The 24,650-nt window shown below is 35.6% G+C and overlaps 1 protein-coding gene across 55 annotated transcripts in view; it reads left to right on the top strand.

Moving 5' to 3' along the window:
• PTPRD (protein tyrosine phosphatase receptor type D) overlaps window positions 1–24,650 on the top strand; it is a 2,298,757-nt gene that overhangs the window by 2,071,134 nt on the left and 202,973 nt on the right. For 31 of the 55 annotated variants that reach the window (NM_002839.4, XM_017014961.3, XM_017014983.3 and 28 more), the window contains 7 exons: window positions 13,090–13,278; window positions 14,516–14,524; window positions 15,225–15,242; window positions 16,834–16,944; window positions 18,345–18,356; window positions 20,323–20,592; window positions 23,440–24,021. In NM_002839.4, coding sequence (NP_002830.1) covers window positions 13,090–13,278; window positions 14,516–14,524; window positions 15,225–15,242; window positions 16,834–16,944; window positions 18,345–18,356; window positions 20,323–20,592; window positions 23,440–24,021 — 1,191 coding nt within the window. The remainder of the gene's footprint in view (window positions 1–13,089; window positions 13,279–14,515; window positions 14,525–15,224; window positions 15,243–16,833; window positions 16,945–18,344; window positions 18,357–20,322; window positions 20,593–23,439; window positions 24,022–24,650) is intronic. The other 24 variants (XM_006716827.5, XM_047423649.1, XM_047423651.1 and 21 more) reach the window with 7 other exon arrangements.

Here is a 24,650-nt window from a genome sequence, read left to right as displayed (position 1 = left end):
AGTGAATAAATTTCTATCCTGTGTTTGCTTTTATATATGATATTCTTTTGATAGAGAGGAAAGTTCAAACATTTCGAAAAGAAATAAATCATAGTTGTAAACTTCTTTGGGCAGTTTCATAAATTGATAGTCCTGTGATTTCAAAGATTTTGAAGAAAAACATACATTGACATACACACACACAAACACAAACAAACACAAAGGCTGGGCGCAGTGACGCATGCTGGTAATCCCAGCACTGGAAGGCCAGGGTGGAAGGATTACTTGAACCCAGGAGGAGTTTGAGAGCAGCCCTGGGAACATAGCAAAAACCCATCTCCACAAAAAGAATAAAAGAAAAGACGGGTATGGTGGTATGTGCTTGTGGTCCTAGCTGCTCCAGAGTGGAGGCAGGAGTGTCACTTGAACTCAGGAGTTTCAGACTAGCCTGGGCAACTTAGTGAGACCCATCTCTATGAAAAATAAAAATAATTGAGCCAGGTATTGTGACACATGCCTGTAGTCCCAGCTACCCTGGAGGCTGAGGTGGAAGGATCCCTTCAGCCTGGGAGGTTGATGCTGCAGTGAACTATGATTGCACCATTGCAGTCCAGCCTGGGTGACAGAGCAAGACCCTATCTATAAAAAGCAAAACAAAAAACCTAGTTCCATTTGGTTATTCTCTGGTGTTAAATTCAGGCTGAATTTTGCCATATAAATAGAAAACTATTTGCATTTATGGGAAATGTTTCCCCATAGATCTGTAATACATTCTGAGACATATAAGTTATCTTTAACTGCTTATTCATGTACTCCTGTAGTTTTCATTTTTTCAGTGAAACATTTTATATGTGATGTTTGATGTTTTAAGATTTTGATCTTTTCATCTTTCAAGACACCCTCTAAAGAAAACTGCCATTACCTCTGTTTTCAGAATCAATTTTCTCCTGTCAGATAAAACAAATACCTACCACAGTTTGCCTTTAAAACTATAAAAACTGTTACTGAATGTGGTAAAATAGTGAAATGCTCTTTTTAGAAAAATTATTTAGACATATCTGAGTCACTTTATTTTGTTCCTCTTGCTCCCATTGCCTTACATTATTAAAGACTAGAGGGTAACAACCATTTTCTGTAATGTGTTCTTGTTTCAGGAAGAGAGAACTGTGATGAGCTGAGGGGAAGGTGGATTGTTTCTAAAATTTTTGAAAGTTTGGCTTAAAAAAATAACATTTGGATTTCTGAAGCTATTCTAAGTTAATTATGTTTTAATTGGAAGGAAGATCCTCAAAAAGTTTGTCTTCTATCTTAAATTTTTATCAGACTTTATCATTTCTCTAAATAAAAATAATAAACGTGCATTATGTTATTAGAATATTGATTTCTCACATTTTCTTTTCATGAGCTTGCACCTTGCTCTTGAGTTATCACTCAATTTTGTTCATTGTTTGTAATTAAATACTTATGCCTTAATTTTATAGGAATTCATGTATTTTTAGAGTTAACTTTTTTCAGATATTGTCATCATTTGTGTGAAATTGGTAATAACAGTTGGAGTGTCATTTAAATAGTCATGGTATTCAAGAGGGCCTCAAATAAAGTATATATTTAAGAATGTTTGTCACAATTGGGAAAGCAATGCTTGAGTATATCTAGCTACCCAGATGCTTTGGGAATAAGTCTATATATTTCTGATAATATGAATTAATTATAACAGTTTACTTCTATATAATTTAAAATTTTGAAATGATCCCAATCTTATAGAAAAGTAGAAACTACAGTACAAAGAACTTATTATTCCTGAACTGTTAGAGAGTTAATTGCCGACATGATGCCTTGCCTGTCATTCCCAAATACTCAGATTTATACAAACAAGGCATTCTCCTACCTAACTACAATGGGACTATCGAAATCAGGAAGTAAACACTGATGCATCATAACCATCTAATTCTTAGATCCGCATTCACTTTTGATCACATTTTTCCAGTTGTTCTTACTTGTGTTTCACCAGTTATCGCCATTCAAGTTTTTATAATTTTCCACAGAGGCTCCAGTTCAGAATTGTATTTTGTACTTGTCAACCTGGAAGAGTTCCTCAGTCTTTCTTTGACATTTCTGACCATGATAGTTTTGAAGATAACGAGCCTGTTATTTAACAAAATGTTCTTGTTTGGGGTTTTGCTGATGTTTACTGGTGGTCATATTTAGGTTGTGACTCTTTTCCAGGAATATTGTGGAAGTGATGTTATATTTTTCTCAGCACAAGAATTTGAATTATCCCTTTACTGGTGTTATTAACTTTGATTTTTTAATCAAGGTTGTTTCTGTAAGCCTTCTCCAATGTAAAGTTACTAATTTTTCTTTACATATTTTATTATTATTTTAAAAATAGTTAAAATTTTTAAAATTTAAAACTTCAAAATTATTTGTCTTTAATGGTATTTTTAGGACTACTACCGTGCTTAGAATACAGCAAAATCATGTAAATGGGAGCATTATTTTCTAAATTAATATCATTGGCATCAGCAGCAGCATAAGGAGCATCATTTTTGGTTTCTAATTGCATACTGCAAATCTAGGAGATGCTTAAGACTTTCCCTATCATTTAATCTCTCACAGACTGCTTTCTTTATATTTAATAAATTTATGTAGGGAGTCCCTTTGATACTATGTAAAGATACTATTTCTCCTGAAACTTTTAATTTACTCAGTTATTTATATCAGTATGGATGCATGTCTTTATTTTATTCAGTGTGTTATAACTTGTTAATACTGTCTTTTTTAATTTTCGTGTTCAAGTTGTCCAATATTTGGTCAATAAGAGCCCCTTTAAGCTGGCTTCTGTGTACATTTAGTATATACCTTTCATTCTTTGAGTATTTTCTTATACAACAGGATAAGTTGTGTCTTCTTTGCTTGTTCTCATTCCTTGCTTGTTCCAGTCTCATTCTTTGCTTGTTCCAGTCCTAATTGGAATCAGTGATTTCTCTAAGGAGTTTTCTGAAGGGAAGCTTTCTGAAAGGAAAGTGTTTCCTTTCAACTGGAGAATGGTATTTAGAAACCAAGATCTGAATACAAGGTGTGACCATTGCTACTGGGTATTACTGCTCCCAGCCTCTCTTGGTTCAGCTAGGGAAGATGTCTTTGCTAAGTTTATATAAAGAATGTATGTTTGTGCATGCATACTCATTTACAAGTCATATATATATGTATACATATATATTTAAAATATGTATAGTATATGTATACAAATGTATATATATATGTGTGTACATATATATTTAAAACTAGGTGTTCACACCAACACTATTAGTTCCAATCCAACACTACACAATTGATTCTGATTTTCTTTTTTTTATAACATTTGATGGCTTAGAAAATTTATTCATATATACTTATATTTACCAAAATATGGTGAAGAAACCACATTGAATGTTTTCTGTAGTCCCATTTGATTGAGCTTGTTGGTTTGTAACTTTTTACAAAGCTAACAAATAATGGATGCAGGATCCAAATCCAAGTCTCTTTCCTTGTTTACTATTTTTGTCTTTGTGCCTCTTTTTCTAAAAAACAAGAATAAAAAATTATTTTCTAAAAATAATAAAATTCATTTTATGATTTAAATATACATTTCGGTAAAGTGGTTAATTATTTGAATATTCAAAGTAAGGTAAACATTTGGATGGATGTAAAGGGTGAGTATAATGACACCTGCTTGTTGATAAATATAAATTGATAGGGAATAATGAGATTTGTGAAAGTGGATGGATATTGGATTTTATCTAAATGAATCCCAAAGAAGGGAATAAATGTGTTTCCCTGATGCCTAAGTATTTAGTTAAACGTTCAGGTATTAATAGTGTTACTAGGTAGGAGGAGAAGGTACTTCTTTTTTTTCTCAATGCGTTTATTTGATTATGAATCACAAAAAGGGTAATCATTTGCTCAGGCCGAGCACTAATAACAGTATGCCTTAACTTAATGCAATGTAAACTTGGAGCTACCACATTTAGACAAATGATAATTAAATCTAACTGGGGTTTATGTTCTGCTATGTAGACATTACTTTGTAATTTGTAGGATGATTGCATGCATTGCTTCTAAACAGTTTGTTTTATTCTCTGCCCGGAGTACCTTGCAAACTCCTCAAAATGTGAGGAATATTTCATAAAATGGAGCTTTGCTCTGGAATGCTCTGTGGGTAGCTGGTTGGTATGCTGAATATTTAGTAGCTGCTAATGAGGCTCTTAGCTTAACAATGTCCAATTTTCTATTCCTGCATGGCATAATTCTATGAGAAATCTTTCGAGACTCTTGTATCCAGTGACTGCCTTTAAGAGATACCTAAATCTACTCTGAAATAAAAGCTTAGCTGATTGATTTATAGCCATATTAAGACAAGCATACTATCTGTATGTAATAACTTGCAAAGAGGACCTTGGGAAAAAAATTTTTGTATCTTGTTCATAATTACTTTTTTGGGAACAGATCTTATATTTATCGTATGTTCCATTTGGAATGTCATGTATTAACTGTCAGTTTTTTTTTCTGCTTTATATAGTTTCTTGCTGACTGGACTAGCATTTGATTTGTAATTAGAAACTATATGATTTTTTCAATTTTATTCATATGCGTAACATTTCGATAATGGCCCAAGAGCCCAACTTTGCTAGAAAACGGTGATTTAGCTTTTATTTCTTTGCTCTTTATTTTTCTGTTTTCAGTCCCTTATTCAATTCACTTACAGGAAAATTGACTTTGAATAATAATGGTCATGATGTCAACACAGTACAAATTATACCCTGCTGCCATCTGGAATGGTGAAAATAAAAGCTTTATTTACACTGTTTCCTTTAAGAAAAGAATGTTTTTTCCTCTTCTTCAAGGACTGTATTCTGGAAAGAAAATGGTGGTCCTTGTTTGTAGCCTGATACTGTGATTCATTTTGAAATGTAATGACTTGAAAACTCATTGTTCGACAAAGTAGCAAATACACTATGATAATCCTCTGCCTTCCAGCCTCTGAGACACTGATCTGTCTCCCTGTCCAGATAAAGCTTTGGAGTAGTCATTATTAGTCCCATAAACCGAAGAGGGACCTTGTGGCCCAAAGTCATAGGGTAGATATGTTAGGTCTACTTATATCTGCTTTTCTGGTCTCTGTACTGACTTTTGGTGCCTGCTCATGGCAGAAGGCCCGCCATTCTCAGCCCTTCCTAGGTAATTAAGTAGAAATTACAGAAGGGCTAAAGGTATAGGCACAGTACTAAATCTCAGCTCTCTAGGAAAATTACTTGACATTTATCAGCCTTTTCACACTCTTCCATTTCTCATCTACCTTGTACTGGCTAACAGACATGGCAGAATTCTGTCTCTTCTAGAACCAATCCTGAGGGAATGAGAAGCCTATAACATATGTATATACACACACACATATATACATTTATATACGTATATATGTGTGTGTATATGTGTGTGTGTATGTATGTATATATATGTGGATTTTTAAAATGTAGATCTATTTTTAAAGTATTATTACATCTCATGGAACTTGCGTATCTAGTCCATGCCATTTAAAAAATAAAAGTAAAGGATGACCAAGTATTCAAACTCTTTTGTTGTCCCATTCATGAGTTGACTGTGATTAAGAGTTTCATCACTACATGATGAAGATTTATTTGAAGAATAGCAATTTGCATAGAGGAAACATGACACAATAAAAAGACACCAAATCTAGAGCTGAAAGACTTTCTTTAATTTTTTACTACATGTAGGATATGAAACAAATAACAATATTACTGAGTTTTTGTTTTATAGCCACAAAAAAATGATAATGATACCATCCTTATTTACCTCAAGGAACTCTAATAAGGTTCAAATATTTGTATTTTAGAGATACTGGGCATTATAGTGCTTTGCATTAGGTAAAATTTTAAATTTGTCTAATATGATCTTCTGACTAAATTCCATTCTGTTAAAGGTGGGATTTAGTAAGAGCATCATATTAGACAAATCTCATCGAGAGATTTCCCCTCTCCAGAGCTGAACAATTAATGGAGCTATTAGAACTAGTTTATGGAGACTTTGTACAGAGGTGTTTCTTGATTTATATCATTTTCCCCAAACAGTTATTTTCAGAATGTTAAGAAACTTTTGAGATGAAAAAACAAAACTCTGACTTCTTGGCATCATCTTTTTAAAAACTATTTTCTTTAAGAAAGCCATATAGCCTTCTTAACATGACCTACTCCCCAAGATGAGGAATACTTAATGCCCCTTCCCTGAATAACTAAAAGAAAAATGCCTGCCATGATATAGGGAAAAACAGTTGGTTCCAGTGTTTTCAGTTGTTCACAACAACCTTTGACATCCCAAATATTTAGAGCTATTTTTAAAATTCATTTTTAGGAACAAATCATCTGACAATATGGATTTTATTTATTTGTACTGTTGATTAATCAAAGAGCCTAAAATCTTGTTCAAAGGGAAAAGAGGGTATTTATTGGCTTTGCAGAGGTTACTTGGCACAAACACTATGCTTTAAATTTAGTTGCGTGTCTAGATAACCCCTGTTTTTTATGATTTGCATAGAATAATTTCTCATTTGCAGTTTATTGCTGCACTACTTGTTTGATCAAGCCTTAGAGTCACATGCCTCTGATCCCTTTAGATCTATTGATGGAGCTTGGAATAAAGCAAGTACATATATGCTAGTATTTTACTAGATGCCAGACACTAGTGCCAGGCAGCACTAGGCACATTTAATGCATCATCTAATTCAATCTTCCTGTGTATGTGCTTGGTACTATTATTACTTTCAAAGAAGCTAATTATCCTGCAGATACAATTAAATCACAACAATATAGAGATTATCTAGATTACTTCATACCCAGTGCCTGGCCCAGTCCAGCACAAAGGAGGCCTTCAATAAATATTTGTAGAATGAATGATGCCATCTGTTGACTATCCGGTAGGTTTTTAGAACTAATAGTTCAAATTATCTTCTTGTTTCAATATATGGTGTAATTTTCATAAATATCTTGTTTTAAAGTATCTATTTGGCCACCTTATTTGACCACCTTAAGACCAATGTGTATTTAAATTTTCCGAGAAAGTTCGTACTTTTTCTTAAGTATAAAAATCCACTGACTTTCTGCTGCATAGAACACTACTGATTCTCTGACACGTGAAAAAGTCCATATATGTATTATATATATTAAAATGACAGTCCTAGTGTGTGTGTGTGTGTGTATATATATATACTCTAGGAATGTCATTTTAAAAATACGCTGCATATTACTCGTCTATCATTTTTCTTGTTTTCTTATGTTAATGAAAACTTTTCTCACTCAGTCTTTCCACCCGTCAAAGAAAAGAAATCACTCTTGTTCTGTGAGAGTATATGAATGACTCAAACCGTAAGATATCCAGTGACTTAGAAATCTGTATTCCTGTCAGTGAAGGAAGACCCACAGTGTTTGCCTCAACAAAAAAACTGAGTGGTTCACTCCTGGGCTTTTTTAGCCATTAGTTTCAACACCAAGAATTCCATTGTTATTCTATAGATAGAATAACAGTAGAATATAGATACGTGTTCTATTGTGTTCTTTGCAGTGTCATTGTGTTTATACATGTGGTTTTGTCATGTGGTCATGCTTCTGACACGTAGGAACTGAAAACCAATATATGAGGGAAAGCCTCCTGTAAAATGAAGGAAGCAAGGACTAAATTGTGTGCTTCTCACATAGCAACCGTGATAAATTAAAAGCATAAATTGCATATTCTCAATGGAAGGAAAATCACTTGCTGACGAAACTAAAGATTGTGAAAATAAAGTCACAAACAGCCATTTTTTAAGTCTCTAATTCTAATACTCCTTATGACACTAAAATAATGAGACTATGAGATAGCTTTGCCTCTTAATAGACTGATACTCAAGGAGGCCAAATGTGTAGTCACAAACAGTTGAAGAATGACTGTTTCAGTGAGTGGCATTGAGGAATGGTATTTCAATGAATGACATTCCAGGAGGAATTGAGAGATACCTCATGAGTGAGTGCTGAAAAAGTAATTGTCAAAGCATCATAAAAATGTCTAATTGTGAGTATTTGTTGAACATTGGGAAGGTTACGAAGAAAGTAACAAATAGCTCCTGCCCTCCTGTGAGCTTGTAAGAGTTCACACTTACATACTAACTATTATTACGGTTTATTGATAACACTATTTGGGGACTTTTAAAGAGGAGCCACTCTGAACTGTTTGAAACTTAGAAAAGTAATTCCAGGGGATGAATGCTTCATGATAACAGCTGCTTGTCTCTTCATCCATATTGTGTTTTTGTTTTATTGTACTGCCATTACTGCCAAAACCTCTGTATTGTCAATAATATCTAAGTGTTCAGGTATACTTGCCAAATTTTTAAATACTGCACTTGAAGAAGCATTGATGTAATTGATGTAATTGACACGCTTTTTCTTTATAAACATATTTGTATTAATCTTAAAAATTGGGATTTTTCCCAATACCATGGCAAACAGTTCTTTATTGAAGACTTCGTTAAATCAGTTGGGGTCAGAGTCAAAGGACTAGTCTGGTTGAATTCACGCAGCAAGAGCCCTAGCAAGATTAGGCAAGAAGAGCTACTTAGGACCACCTTGGAAGGAGCCTGTAGCCTTAGCAGGCAATTCAGATTTTCCTGGCTTCCTTACAAAGAAGAGATTCAGTGTTTGTGAAAGTGGAGTGAAAGTAAGAGCATCGTTAATATTGTTTATGCATGAACAGTGAAAACAGTTTAAGTGAACAAATCATGTAAAACCTGTTACTTGATCATTCACAGATATGTAAGGCATGACTACCTACAAAACAGTGTCAGACTATTTTCCTCATGGATTCATTCCTTTCAAGTCCTGGGTAGGTCAGGGTTGTTAATAAGTTCTACCACAATGGGAAGTTAACTCTGGAAGATGCTTACATTCATTTTTCTCTTTCCTTAATGGAACTGAAAGTTTTGTATCAGCATATTTCATTAAGATACCAACAGATTCAAAGAGGGTGCTATATTTCCAGGTCTATTATAGCTGCCATTCCAAACAAAATATGTATGACTCTATGATTCACTAAGCACAAGTATGTAGTAATCTGCCCTTTAATGGCCTCTCAAAATGACAGAACAAATGGCTTTGTGAAGGTCAAGTCTGATTTAAATGGTTGATGAATTAGTAGCTAATTCTGCATGATTGAATATTAATATGGAACAGTGATAAGTAAGGCACTTTAAAGCTTAATGAGCACATTAATGAATAGGACAAAATGTTTTTCTTTTCACCTCATGTAAAAGTTTAAAGCTACTAGCATATTGACAATTTGTTAATTTTTGCTAGCTGCTTTTTCCTGTGAAAGTTTGTGTGGTTAAGTTATTAAGGATATTGATTTGATTCCCAAGTTCCTGGTACCACACATTTGAGGAGCCGTCAAAATTGATGTTATCAAATGGCCAAGGCAGTTTTATATAAATCACTAATAAATGTGGAAGGTGAAGAAAAAAGCAATTAACGTCTTCTAAACTACACCCACGGAGATAAGCATTCCAATTAGAAATTTCATTATTTCTACAGTTTGTTTTATGTTGAATACTGAGTTTTATTGCCAAATACCTGACAGTCAAATTGGAAACAAGCCACAACTGTCAACGTGTAACAGCTCTGGCTATTTGAATCTGTTACATTGTGATGTTTCTCATGAAAATTTAACGAAGAAAGTGCATTCAAAGAGATTCTGTGCAAAGGGGGATGGATAGAATTTAATTACCCTTATTAAAAATAAGAAAGGAACGCTCTTTACATTTTCTGTCCCATTAGTATGCAAGAAAGATTATCTTTGTTGTGCACTCGTGTATATGAAAAGGGGGCTCTGGAGTGTTCTTTATGAGCCAGGAAGGAAGAGAAAGGTCATGAAAATGTATTAGACTGCTTTTCAGGAAGGTACAAGTCAATTTTGTCGGCTATCCCCAAGGTGAGGACTATATTTCTTATAAACGGTTATTAAATCTAGATTTCTTTGGTAAGAGCCTTTAGTAAGTGGCTTAACAATCTTAAGCCTTTGGCACTTGCCACTGATCAGCACTGAATATTGGCTCAGTTCTTCCGAGAGATGAACTTGTAGAAGAAAAGTAATGACTAGCAGAGCAGTATTTATGCAGGCAAATGTAACTAGTACTTAAACACCATGGGAGAGATACAGTGTCCTAGGACATACAGAAACCACTCAGGAATCGCAAGGTGATTTTTGATTAACCTAAGTTGGTTGCTTTAAAAATGGAACATAACAACAACAAAATCTAAGAGCTTTTTCAGAAACTCATTTTTATGAAGGCGGTATAGTTGGTGTTGGAGCACTTGAGGTAAATTACTTTTATCCTTTGAAGCACTTTGTGTCAATAGCTGCCAAGTGAGATATTTAATAACATAACGTGTGTGGTATAGCAGCTATTGATCTTTCTGCTCCTTTTTCCCCCCAGCAACATCAGAACTATGTTGTAGATGTAAATATATTGGCAAAACCTTTAAAGCCATAAAGAACAGCCTGATGAAATTCATGTGGAATAGATTATTAAAACCAGCATAGCCTAATTTGCATCCCACTTTTAATTTTTAACTTTCTCTTGGAGCCTTGAAAAATCATCTTGAAATTCAATTTTTAACTACTGTTTCTGACACTTGTCTACTGTAGACCTCTGCTTGGCTGACGATGTGTAAACATTCACAAAAACAATGTATTACTGCTTCCACAAATGAGCCACATCTTTCAACTTAAGTGAAGTTCAGCTCATTGCAGTTAATTATTTTTATAAGTGTGTTTAGTACCCGGCCCTAACTACCTGGTCTGATAGGAAGGTATTATGTCATGAATCAGGTGTCAAATCAAACTTGCCTCAGCTTCTTTTGGTCCTTCACAGACTGTGTTAGTAAAAGATAGAAACTTTCTATCCTGCCCAGCGGGAGAGCCAGAGTCTACGCTTTTCCTTAATAGTCCATCAATTTTATCTTACAATAACTGCATCTGTTCAGTGAAATTTCTCTTTCTTGGGAGCTTTAATCTTTGGTAGCATCTTACATTCTTTCGCCATTCACATTCAGAATCTCTCTGGTCCCTAACTATTTAACTGGTTGCCTCTCTACCAGAAGTTCTGCATAGTAGGATATATATATTTTTTAAACAGTCACTGATATATATTCATACTTAGGCTTAGGAATCAGTGGAGTTTCTCTTAAAATCTGGAAACCCAGGCTAGCATGATTGCAAGGGAGCAGAATACAGATAAAACATGGAAGAACTCCTGGTGTGGAGGGATAAACTCATGAGTTAATAAGTACAAGACAGTGGATTTGAGTAGCCGCTGCTATGGTAGCTCTGAGGAGGAAAGAATGAAATATGTTTGAGAGAATTTGGAAAAGATTTACAAAGAAGGTGACTTTGGCTGCGTGGCTTCCTAGAAGCACGGAGTACCCAGCAAACATGATTTGTCTGGGAAGTGGTGAGAATTTCAATGTGGGCAGAAGAAAAATTTCCTATGAGAGAGTTGATCCCTAAGAGGCTGAGAAAAATGAGACCTGATTGAAAAGGACTTTGCTAGTGAGGTTTAGGAGACTGAGTTTACCCCTCGGCTCTAGAGGGAGAGAGTTGGAGAACACATGCTGTTGACTGGCAACACGGTGGAGGCATCAAAATGGAGCTTCTTCATTAGAAATTCTAACATAACCTCAGTATGATTCACCATCAACTGTGAATTCATGGATTATACTGGAGCTTGTAGGAGGCACCCAAGGAGAAGCGATATGCCAGATCTGATGATATCTAATGTTCTGCTCGCTGCTGTTTATGCTTTCGAGTAATTTTAGAATTGGTGGCTTATGAAAATTTATCAGTGGCCGTGAGGGGGTATTGATTAAATCAATGCCAGACTCAATTGGAAGTAAAAATATTTCATGATCACGAGTTAATGGGTACAGCAAATCAACATGGCACATGTGTACATATGTAACAAACCTGCACGTTGTGCATATGTACCCTAGAACTTAAAGTATAATAACAAAAATTCATGATCTTCAAACAAATGGCCATGTTCTAATTTGGATAATTGCCACCCATCTAACTAAAATTCTTTCGATGCTTAGATAGAACACACCTTTCTAATCCTGGCTAGAAGAGCTGGCAATGTCAGTTATCAGTGTGGAGCATGATTGTGGGATTTAAGTGATTTTAATTTCTCAAGAGCTGGGATCTGGAACAGTTTCGATGTGGGTAGCAAAAAGTGAATTTTGCATGAGTTGGAGATTCAAAATTTAGGAATTTCAACTTTTTAATTACTGAAAATGATGCAGATCTTTGGGATGGAGGAAAGCATTCTCTTATCCCTGTAAGGAACATGTGTTTTTGTGCCATTAATAAGGAGTTGCTTTTGCTCTTCTTTTTCAAAGCATCCTCAGACAATTTTCTGGTTAATTGAAGCTCTTACAAAGTAATCGATTTGGGTTGAACCTTATACTTGTGAGGGAAAACAGAGTTATAAGAAAAACATACCAGCTTTGAAACAGATAGCGTGACCTAGCTTCTGCTTGTTCCCCAAGTACTCTCCAAGCTGGCACTGTTGGCTTCCATGCTTCTCTCTCGGCAAAACCTTTCCTACCTCAATGCCTACACTTGTGACATTCCCGAATCTTTCTAAAATCTCCTTCTCCCCTTTTTGTGACTTGGCCGATTGTGTTCTTTCCTAAATGCCTACTTTAAATCAGAGCTTCCTCTGGGTACTCACTGATCTCAAGCACAAACCCTATAATTATTTCTCCCTCTTTGCTCTTGGAAAACTCACTGCATCCCCTCATCATAGTCGGCCCCGTCTGAGCTCTGTGTTAGTCTGTTGGCCTCTTACATAGAGTGTTTACTCTTCTGATCAGTAGCAGCATTGTGACTGTGTTCTAATTTATTAGTGCCTGGTTTGTGTTAGGTTCTCAACAAGCACTGAGTAAGGTAAAGAGAGATTTCTGGGGAATCTCTTGAATTTGGAGCATCTGACTTATTAACTGAATGTTTCTATCACCTTTTGTCTTGCAGAAGATCAAATTCCCAGGGGCTTCCCTACCATTGACATGGGCCCACAGTTGAAGGTGGTTGAGCGTACTCGCACGGCCACCATGCTTTGTGCAGCCAGTGGTAATCCGGATCCAGAAATCACTTGGTTTAAAGATTTCTTACCTGTGGACACAAGCAACAACAATGGTCGTATTAAGCAGTTACGATCAGGTAGGGTCTTGTTACTGTTTCTACTAACTCCTAGAGAATTTTTTTTTTTAATTTTTCTCTCTCCTTATTTTTAATTTTAATTTATTTTTTATTTCTAGGTACTGATTTTTCTCCCTCTTCTCTTTCTCTGTTACTTAATGGGTGGTCCATGTTTGTGATGTCATAGCCTGTTTCAGAGTCTGTCTTTCTCCTTTTCTCTGTGTGTTTTGCAGCTTCTGTTTAATCCACATTGCTCACTGCTGTGACTGTATTTTTGGTAATTTTTTAATTTACTGCTTTTTCGCAGTATTTGATGGATCCATTTTCTCCTCTTTCTTTCTTCTTTCTCTGTTTTCTTTTGAAACAAATTTATTTCAACATTGGACTTCATTCAGAACTTGCAAGGAGATCCAATGGTTGTATCCATTAAAAAATAAAATGTTCATATTAAACCCTAAAATGTTTCAATTTTATTAAAGTATGTTTTCTGCTATCTTTTCTACATTTGAACTCATCAAAGTACCAAAGTTTAGTAAGTCTGGGCACATCTGCTTTCTTTTCACTAATACATAAAAACACAGAAACGTTATCTCATGAGTAACCAGATGTATGTTTTTAAAAGTCTTTAGAAAATACCAGTAAAAGGAGGGGATTTTTATTAATACTATGATAATAACATTGTGAGTGAACATTTTCTACACATTAGCCACAGTAGTGTGCGCCCGTCAAGGTTTTTGAACCCTCCAGTGACTGGATCTACAGAAGTCTGCTTTTGGTGTAGACTCCAGCTTTTGCTGTTTTCTCTCTCTCTTTACCCTTTTCTCCTTTTCCCATTCCCATCCCAAGTTTATGCCTTTGCTCTCTTAGATTAAAAGTAGAGATAATTCTAAATTTCTTAAGTTTTAGAGCCTGTCCCTAGGTAATTTCACAGGGATATATAATAATAAGCTGTTTACTTTGACATTGGTAGTAATATTGGTATAGAATTCTAAGTTGTTTAACTGCCTGTCTTCCCAGAATTCTCAGCTTTTGACCTGTCCTGTGATGTTAAAGCGTCTTGTTAACTGCCTCTTTTGCTTGTTGTCAGCAGAATTGTGTAGATTAGCATTCTGTTATTGTAAATGAAGAATTAATTATTCACATGTAACATAGATGATTTAGTATATAAAGCTTTAACTCTGAAAAATTTGTACCAAATTATAAGGAATATAATAATATTTTTATGCTGTCTTTCTTCTCTCCGTATTTAAATCTCCAGAATCTATTGGTAAGTGCTTAGTTCTGAAGCGCACTTCAACCCCACTAATTTCCATATCCAGAATATTATTATTATTATTAATAAAATGCATGGCATGCATTTTACTAACTGTCAGTGTAGACACCAGATCTCTGTAGTGGCTCCCACACACACCTCCACAGAACTGTTATCGTAAGAACACTGTGCAGAAAAATTAAATAGTACACAAGTTATGGCACACCAATGTAGCATAGCAAGTAGTATAAGATATCCAATCAACAATGTTTGTTTCCAGTTAGTCTTTAGTGTTTCCTATCACAGTATATATATATATGCATATCTATATATATACTTAAATAGATTAGCCAGTATTTTCCTAAACTATGTCTTTAAAAATATTGTATAGTTTTTTTTTAAGAGATATGAGGCATATAAGATATAATTCTAACCCTATATGACCCCAGACCTGAAAACTCAGTTGCTTCTCTGAGAAAGGCAATGCTGCCTATTGCGGTCTTTACCCTCTGTGGTATAATGCAACTTGTTTTTTATGATCTAATAATACTATCTAATATATTCCTGTTTTACCAATATAGTAATTCAAGTTTCTTTTAAGACCTTATTTAATTCTGTAAATCTAATTTAATTCTTCTCCCCAGCCCTAGCCTCCTTCTTCTCGTACTAATGCTTCTTCTTTCTAATCTTATTTGCATTCATATTATCCACCCAGGTGGTACACCAATAAGAGGTAAGAGTGCTGAACTAACGTTCACAGAATGATCTTACTCATTCTTTCTGTCCTTTCATCCCTCTCATCTTTGTCCTGTTTTCAGCGTCATTCCAATAATGTCCATCAACTTTTTTTTTTTCTTTGTACTGTTTGGTTATGATCAGTGACTCTCATATTGTGAACTTTCCTTTCCTTTTTCTTTCTCTCTTTGTTTTGTTCATTTCTTTCTTTATGAAAATGATTATTTAAGTTGTGATATGCTTCAAAGAAAGCATATCCAGGTCTTTAGACCACAGACCAGTCACAGCGTACCATCTGTCCCTCTTTTTTTTTCCTTTTCTTCTTCTTCCTTTTTCCTTTTTCTTTTTTTTTTTCTTCTTTTTCCTTTTTTTTTGTCCAACCGGAGAAAAAAAAAGATCATTTTTTTTCTTCCTTAGCTGTTCTTGTTCTGGACCAAAGCCAAGGTGGTCTGGAGAACAGTGGCAGACATGCAGAAGACACCCTGGAGCATCTGCTTTTTGTCTTTATCTTTCAAAAGGTTTTTGCTTTTGTTCTTCAATTCTTTTTTCTCTTAATGTCTTAAAAGTCAAAGAATGACTCCCCTTTCCACCTGATCCCACTCGTCTACAATCTGACAGCAATGCTTTTTTCCCCACTTCTTTTTTTCTTGGATTACTCGTCTCCGGATTTTTGGATCTTCTGTCCTTCAGGCTATGGAAACAAAAGGTGCTCAGTATTCTTGGTGGTATGTGGTATTGCTGGTTTTTCATACTTCGACTCAGTGTGCATTTCTTTTGTAATTCTTGTTTTGTATTTTTCTTGGGGTTTTGTGACACCACACTGCTAATCCCACTGGTGGATTTTGATGGGTGTCTTAGGGGATCCATCTCAGGGTCCTCAAGCAGTGGTTGGTTGGCTCTTCCTTGTGGCACAGGCCATGCCTTTTAACTTTTTAAAAATCTTCTAATTCAACTGCTCTTTGTTTTTCAGCAAACGTAATAAATGATTGTAAGTCGTGGAAAACTGTCTTTCTTTTCTTAAAAATCTGCATGTCTTAAGGGAGTTTTGTTTCTTTAAGTGATATTTTGATAATTTATAATGACTAATTTTAATTTTTTGCTTTGTGCAGCCTTTTTGTGCTCGCTGCGTATTTTTGGCTCTCTTCAGCAGAAGACTTTCTTGAAAACCCAGCCTGGTTTTTTTTGAGCGTACCTATCTTTTGCGCCACTTTTGGTACCCAAATGAAACAAAACAAAACCAAAAATTAATCTTTTGTTTTATTTAAAAGCCATACTTCCTTGAAGCAGTCTCACCCATCTTCATTTTATTAGTCTAGGAAATAAGAGTGTTAATTATGACTAGAAGTCTTGCTTGGGAAAAGAGATATTGATTTCTAATGCTAGCATTGATGATGTAAAAAAAAAAAATAATCTCTATATGTTTTTCTCATCGCATCATTTTCTGTCTGTGCAACTTAGCAAGAGATTGAATCGACGTTGAGTGGACCTTCGCTTTGCAGGGCTTTTCATATTGTTAAGAGGTTTAGCTTTCTGAACTGAGAAAGCCTTCTCTGATCATCTCTTTGGCAATATATTTTATATCCATACAGGAGCCCTTCAGATTGAGCAGAGTGAAGAGTCTGACCAAGGAAAATATGAGTGTGTTGCCACCAACAGCGCGGGCACTCGCTATTCCGCTCCTGCCAATTTATATGTCAGAGGTAGGAATGACATAACCCTGGCATCGCTTCTTCATTCAGGCTCAGGGGGAGTTGAGACGCCGCAGGGTCCGTGTTGTTATATTAGTAGTTAACAAGCTGGTTTGGTAATAGTGACCGTAGCTGAAACATGTTAGTAAATAGAAAAGTTAAAAATTTAAAATGTGTTGTTTAACTCCAAAAGACAACTCTTGAGTATAATCTGTCCTGAGGCTTGGAGTTTGTAAGTATATTTGCATTTTTACATCTTGGTTTCTATTTTTACTGTATTGATTGAACTGTGCTTTGCATTTGTTTGAGGTTTTCTTCTTTTTCTTTCTCTTTTTTTCTGTTGTTTCTCTTCTGTTTCCTTATTAAACCCCTGAAATAATTGCTTGGTGTGCTACTAATCAGTTCTCTGTGCAATTCCAAGCATAAAGGTGTTTATGTCTTCATGACCCCTGCTGCTGAAACTGTAAGGATAAAGCTGCTAACTCTATAAAACAAGTGCTACATGCAAATAGCACAGTTGCATTTCTGTCTTCGTATACTTTCTTAATTATAAACACATAGTATTATATATACATGTGTATTCATATATGTGCACATATGTACACCTTTTTGTTTGAATTATTAAGACTTACCGAAACATTTAGTTTTTTGATTGCAATGGAAAACTGTATTTTAAATAGTAATGTGAGTTGTCCTTGAGACAAGAATGAATTATGAGGATACATTCATATGTTCTCATGAAGTAATAGAAATGATTAAACTGTGAGCTTATGAATGGCTATGCCTTTCCATTCAACTAGAAAGAAGTACTTCCTCTTCCCGAGAGTTCTCAAAGCCAGTTCCTGTAGTTTTTTTTATCCAGTGGAAGTGTTCTTATTCCTGGTCTACATATCTGTGAATAACCACAAAGGCATGGGTGGGGGTGGGATTAAAGAAAAGACTGAGAGGGCTTTAAGTTACAATAGGATGGGTTCCCTTAAGAAAATACCTAGCTTGATTTTGAAATTTTTGTTAGAGGTAATTTTGTTTCCCTGGGGATGTTTTTCTCTCCTTTCTTTTTTTATGGAGTCTGGGGTGGGGAAATATGAAGAAAGTCATTTCTTCTCTAAATTCTTCGAAAGTCCCTTGATCCTTTTTCCACAATAGTGACCTCCCTTGCTGCATGAGGCATGTGTACCTTCTTCCATGGAAAATTTCAAAATGATGCTAGCTATTGTTTCTAATACCATGTTAGTCTGTGAGATATTGCTAACTTTTCCAGCTGAGATAGGAAGGATGAACTAGAGCGAATAAAGATGTTCAAGTAGCAGTTGAAAGCCTTGATATGGCCTTTTTACTCTCTCTGTGTTTCCCTTGTTTTTCTCCTTTCCTCATTTCATTGTGTTCTGCATCAAACCCCCTACATCCCTCAGAGCTGCGAGAAGGTTGGTGTGTTTTTTACTTTTTACCCACCTTACAAAACTATTAATTAAACCAATAACAAAGAATACAAATGAAATGAATGTAGCTGCATTGTGTTCTTCTTTTGGTTAATGGTATGTTTTAGCAGAGAATGCCCTGGCCATGGCTTCTGGTGCTTGCTGGTGGTATCTAACTGTGGTGCATGGTGGGAGAGAATGTACCTGGGTGCATGGTAACTGGTAACACTTAACTCTGTAAGGTCCAGTGAACTTGGTCAGTGTTCCTGCTTTCCTTCCTGCTCCACTGTCCCCATCTCCCACCCTGCCTTTAATTTCTGTCTTATAAGGATGCCTGCTGCCCATAGAATGACTTTTTCTAGTTTCTCCCCTAATCCCAAGCATGAAGACTAAACTCTCCTCCATTTTTCTTGATATGTTCTTTGATACCTCAGAGTCTACACTGGCTCCTGCTTGCTTTGTGTAACCTCTGTGAATTGGCTGCAGGAGGCATGCTTAGCTTTCTCTTCTTCTCCTATGACTGTCATTCACCCATGAGGCCATTGCAGTGAGCCATCTCAAATAAGCGGAGGTTTATCTCGACCTTAAGAGCAGCCAAAAAGTTTTCAGACAGAATTACTTATCTTCTTCTTGGGGTTATGAGGTTACTTATCAGTTTATTTATAATTTTTAAAAAATCTTTATTAAATGTATTTAAGGTGTGCTCCCTAAAGATTACCCTCTAGATCTCAAATTCTTATGGTATGACATTTTGCCAGTAAAAGCCCCAGATGAAACCAATTTATCTTTCACTTTCTCCTTGTATCACATCCAAAACACATTTACTTAAACACACATAAACCTGCAGATTATCTGAAGCAGGAACACTGAACTGAAATTGCTTGGTAATTTTTCTGTGTTATGTTGCTTTAATATGATCTCTTCTCTTAATGTCATGTCCTGCTGTATGTTTTAGATCCAGTGTCCCTCAATTTGAATGTGGGCATAAAAAGCCTTTTAAAAGATTTTGTTGTCATTTATGTTGTTTTACCTTTGATATGAATTGAATGGAATCCTGTATGTGAAACACCCAGCTCCCTTTCTGAATTTGCAATCCTTACCTTTAACAACTTGAGCTTAATCTTCTGTCTTTCAACCCTGTCATCCCCTAAGTCCCTGTGTTTCAATCGTTATACTTTACCTCCCCCTTTCACGTTTATTTCTATTGCCCCCTTATTTCTTCTGCGGTCATTGCTGTCTTGGATTCCAGCCATTCTTTCAATATCCTTAGCACGGGCCTTGAGATTCCATCTTGTGCATGCCTTGCATGACCCAATCCAGTATCTCTACTGGTGTTAGCCTGTTTCTTCTTCTGTGACTGTAAATCAATATGTATATACATTTCTGTGTTTGTTCCAGTGTTAGTGTGAGGTCTTGAGGCTGCATCCACTATGAATCTGAAAACATAAAGTGCACTTTCAGTGTACTCTAGGTGATGTTTTCCAGGGCTGGGATGTGACAGTGTGGTCCCACACCTACATTCACATCAACTGGAAGTGCACAGCACTGAAGTTGGTTTTGATACTCAACTTAAACATGCTGGTGACCTTCCAGCCCCCTTTTCTGCATATACATGCCTGCATAGAATCATTGTTATATGCCTGCATGTATATGTTTTTGTGTTTATCTTATGCATGATGTTTGTGTATTGTTAGTTTGTAGATAGTTTTTTGTGGGGCCCTTGTAGGTCTGAATCAACTTTTGTATTAGTGTGTCTAAGATATCAATGACTAAACTAAATAAATAATTCTGTGTATACACACACCATACTTGTATGGTCTGTATTATCCACAGTTTTTCTTTATGTTTTGTTTTTGGACAATCCACAATGTTTCAATTGTTGAATCGTGTCTGTACGGTGCATGTCATGTGTTTAATAATCCACTTTTTCTTGCCTTGTATATGTTATCATTTCCCTTGTGTTTTGTTCCAGTTCGCCGTGTCCCACCAAGATTCTCTATCCCACCCACTAATCATGAAATCATGCCAGGCGGAAGCGTTAATATCACCTGTGTGGCCGTGGGGTCACCAATGCCTTATGTAAAGTGGATGTTGGGGGCAGAAGATCTGACACCTGAAGATGATATGCCAATAGGAAGAAATGTGCTAGAACTGAATGATGTAAGACAGTCAGCAAATTACACCTGTGTTGCTATGTCAACACTGGGTGTCATTGAAGCAATAGCACAGATCACTGTCAAAGGTATGCTCAATGGATTATGCTTTGAGGATCTGGGTACACTCAAGCCAAGTGACTAATGCCTCTAGAAAGCCCATCCTTGAAAATCTAAAATAATTCATTATTCAGCATTTTAAATGTGTGTATAACCTAATCATATCTGTGGTATTATATAACATGCATAAGCCTAGATAGGCGGATTTTTTCTTGGAAGTATCTGGCAGCCTATGTAGAGATAATCATCAGAATATTAAAAGACAGTCCATGGAGGCCCAGGCACTAACCAGACAGAACTAGGAATTTTACACATGGTCGACCATTATGGTGGGACTGATGTGTACAGTCTACATACTAGACCAGAACCTTGATAAGAACCCCAAGAAAAGTCAATATGAGCATTAATAAATGCTTAAAATTTCTAAATACAAAGGAAAAAGAAGAAAAAAAAAGTTGAAATCAACATAGTCTAGTAATAGATGATTTAACTTTTTGGTGAGCCCTACTATTAAAAATCAAAAGGCAAGTAAGAGTATATTCTGTTGTAGTTTTATCTTTCACCTTGCATAGATGAGTGCTCAAGGAATATTCTTTCCTTTAAAAAACAGACTAAATATAACCAAAGTACTATATTACATGAATATTTTTGAACTAAAGAGAAAGAGTACAAGCATGTAAGGGTACCGTTTTTTTTTCCCCTAGTGTTTATAGAATTCTAGAAAGTGTTTGCAAATTGAGTCAGACATAGGGCAACTTAAGTTTTCTGCAGATGGCTAGAACTATTGCAAAATGAACACAAATTATCTTCTTTTCCTAGGCAATGTTGTAGGCATTTGGAATTCAGCAGCAAGTAAGAAGTACAAGTTTGCTACTCTTGAAAAGCTGCCATTCTAGGGGGTGATCTTAGAAAATGCAATACACGTTATAATTGGTATCGCATCTCTAACCAAGCGTATATATCAAATATATGCTATATAAAACTAATGACATGAGAACAAAGGTACACATTGTCAACATTTACAATCGTGAAATAATGTTATATTGTGTAACCTTAATATAATAAGCACACATGTATTTATCCGTACATTACAGACATAAAACCTGTACTGTACAATAAATGTGACTTAGTGAAACTAATAATGTCAGCTAAATATCAGTGAGCACAGCTTTAATTAGCAATATTTGTATTTGCTTTGAAAGTTCAGAAAGACATGTAGGGGAAATCTGGAGCACACACAGCCTTGAAAAATGCCAGGTCAGAATATTTAAACAAATTTCATTTTATTATTATTTTCAGTAAATTCCCTTGACAAAATACTATCATTCTGTAGTTCTTTGAGTAGTGTGTAAATATTGAATCACCTTTTTTATAATTACCATTTCAGCTTTAAATATTTGAAGGCTTGCTGAAGACCTTTAAGAATTCAAAAGCAGGGGCCACTTTAAACTAATATTTTGTTCACCTTCTCATCTTTGTTTTCCTGACTCTTGCCACTTCCCTGTCTTTTCCACCTCAAAAATAAACAAATAAAACATAAGAGTGAATCTTAATGGCAAATTAAAATAAATCAAAACAAAAGAACAGGTTGAAGAGAATGAGGTGAATGGGTGCTGACTCATTTATTCAGTTAACTGTTTAACGATTCTCATTAAAAACCTACCGAGTGCCAGGCAGCATTCTAGGCATTCACAATTTTACAGTAAGTCAGAAGTACAAGTTTGCTGCTCTTGAAAAGCTGCCATTCTAGGGGGTGTTATACTTCTTGCCTTTATGTTGGCAAGGAAACAGGGACACTAATGGGCTGATTATATGAATGTTACCCTTTGAGATTTCTCTAAAGAGTCAACTATTAGAATGCCCCTTCCTACCCTAATAGCACTGCGTTTCAGAATCATTGTTTAGAATAAGGCACTTGAATATGAGGTCAGCAAAGCAGACAGTTTATATTTTTAATTAGTAGTATTTTGATTTGTATTCTTCTGCTAAAAAGAAAGAATTAGACCTCTAAAAAGATGGATTTTATTGCAAATATTTGTCATGTAGCTACATTGGATATTTCTGATGTGGAATATAGAATGCATATTAATATGACCATAACATACCTTAAAAAGTGATTGGTGAATGTGCCTTAATTTACTTCCTTCAGCAATTTTTAAATATTAAGAATAAAGCATTGATTTGAAATTTCTATTCTTTTGCACCTTAAAATTTTTGGTTTTTCATTTACAAGAAAATTTTTAGTAATGGTATTGTGTCTTACCAGAATATAGATGTTATTGTTTCATCGCAATTTAATTTCATTTCAATGTATTCCACATTTTGTTCTTTTCAATGTTTATCGGTATTTCAGTTATACCATTTATTTATTGGGGCAAGGGGCTAATTGGCCAAGCTTTTGGTATAATAATAGTAATAACTGCAGCTAATACTAAGGTTTTTTTGTGGGTTCCAGTTACATTCTAAGAATCTTAGTGGATTGGCTCATTAGTCTTCACAGCAAACCCATGAAATACAGTTACATACAGCTGTATAATATGACTTAAATAATAATATTTTTCCCATTTCCACATGAGGAAACTAAAGCAAAGAGAGGTTAAGAAATGCGTGCAGGATCACTTAGCTAATAAGTAGAGGATTTGGATACAAGCCTAAAAATATGCTATCAAGCCCTTCTAGGAAAGCAGGATTTGTGTCACCTATGAATGTTTTCCTGTCCTTCTTGGCCATTCAGAAAACTACTCTTTGCTATAATTTCATTTAATTAAATCTTCAGTAGATACATAATCCTGTCATTTTCATAGTAGAGTTTATAGATTTTTGAAATATTATAGGGATGATGGGTAGTCATTGTCTTTTATCTTCCCCCATCCAAGCCTTACCCAAACCTCCAGGAACTCCTGTAGTGACCGAGAGCACAGCTACAAGCATCACACTGACGTGGGACTCTGGGAACCCTGAGCCTGTTTCTTATTACATAATTCAGCATAAACCTAAAAACTCTGAGGAACTTTACAAAGAAATTGATGGGGTGGCGACCACACGCTACAGTGTCGCTGGACTAAGTCCCTACTCGGATTATGAATTCAGGGTTGTTGCTGTCAATAACATTGGGCGGGGGCCTCCCAGCGAACCTGTGCTAACACAAACCTCAGAGCAAGCACCATCCAGTGCCCCGAGGGATGTCCAGGCACGAATGTTGAGTTCGACCACCATTTTGGTACAGTGGAAGGAACCTGAAGAGCCAAATGGACAGATCCAAGGATATAGAGTTTATTATACAATGGATCCCACTCAACATGTCAACAACTGGATGAAACACAATGTAGCTGACAGCCAAATCACTACTATTGGCAACTTAGTGCCCCAGAAAACATATTCTGTCAAAGTCCTGGCTTTTACCTCAATTGGAGATGGTCCCCTTTCAAGTGACATACAAGTCATCACTCAGACAGGAGGTAAGTTTGGTTGAGGAGGGAAATAGGGCAGGAGGGAAGGGCTGGTGCAAAGAGGTGAGAAGGACAAAAACAAAGAAGGAACAAAGATGGTATGAATTTTAATTTTTGAGATTTAGGGCTTCAAAGCAACAGATGATAGATATCTGAAAAGGAACAAGCATGGACATCTGAAAAACTAATCATTTTGAGCAGAACAATGCATTAACACCCCTTCTTTTTAATTTGTATGGGAATGACTTGAAGACTTCTCTATGTGAGATAGAACAATGTCTCCCCCATGCCCAGTTTTGAGAATAGAAAAACGACACTTCTTTGTAATAGCTAGTATGGTAGAGTGGTCTCAAAAGAGTATTTAATTTGTGTAAGATTGGATGGTTCAAGACAAAGCTAAAAAATAAAACTGTTACAGGGCCTTGGGTATTTAAATGGCTTATATTTGCCAGAAGCTACTGGCTTGAAAATAAGTATTCTCTGAGTGGCTTTAATTTCTGTTTTTCTCTGTATGGCCTCAGTGGATAAAGAGAGACAGTTACCGAGATCTCAGATAGAACATTGGGCCTGATTGATTAACTTTGCTAAGAGCTACAGCAGACATTAGACTATTTTATGAAGGAAAACTTGGCCCTCCC

This window comes from Homo sapiens, chromosome 9, assembly GCF_000001405.40.
Source record: "Homo sapiens chromosome 9, GRCh38.p14 Primary Assembly".
Classification (NCBI taxonomy): Eukaryota; Metazoa; Chordata; class Mammalia; order Primates; family Hominidae; genus Homo; species Homo sapiens.
This window is presented reverse-complemented; position numbering and strand designations above follow the sequence as displayed.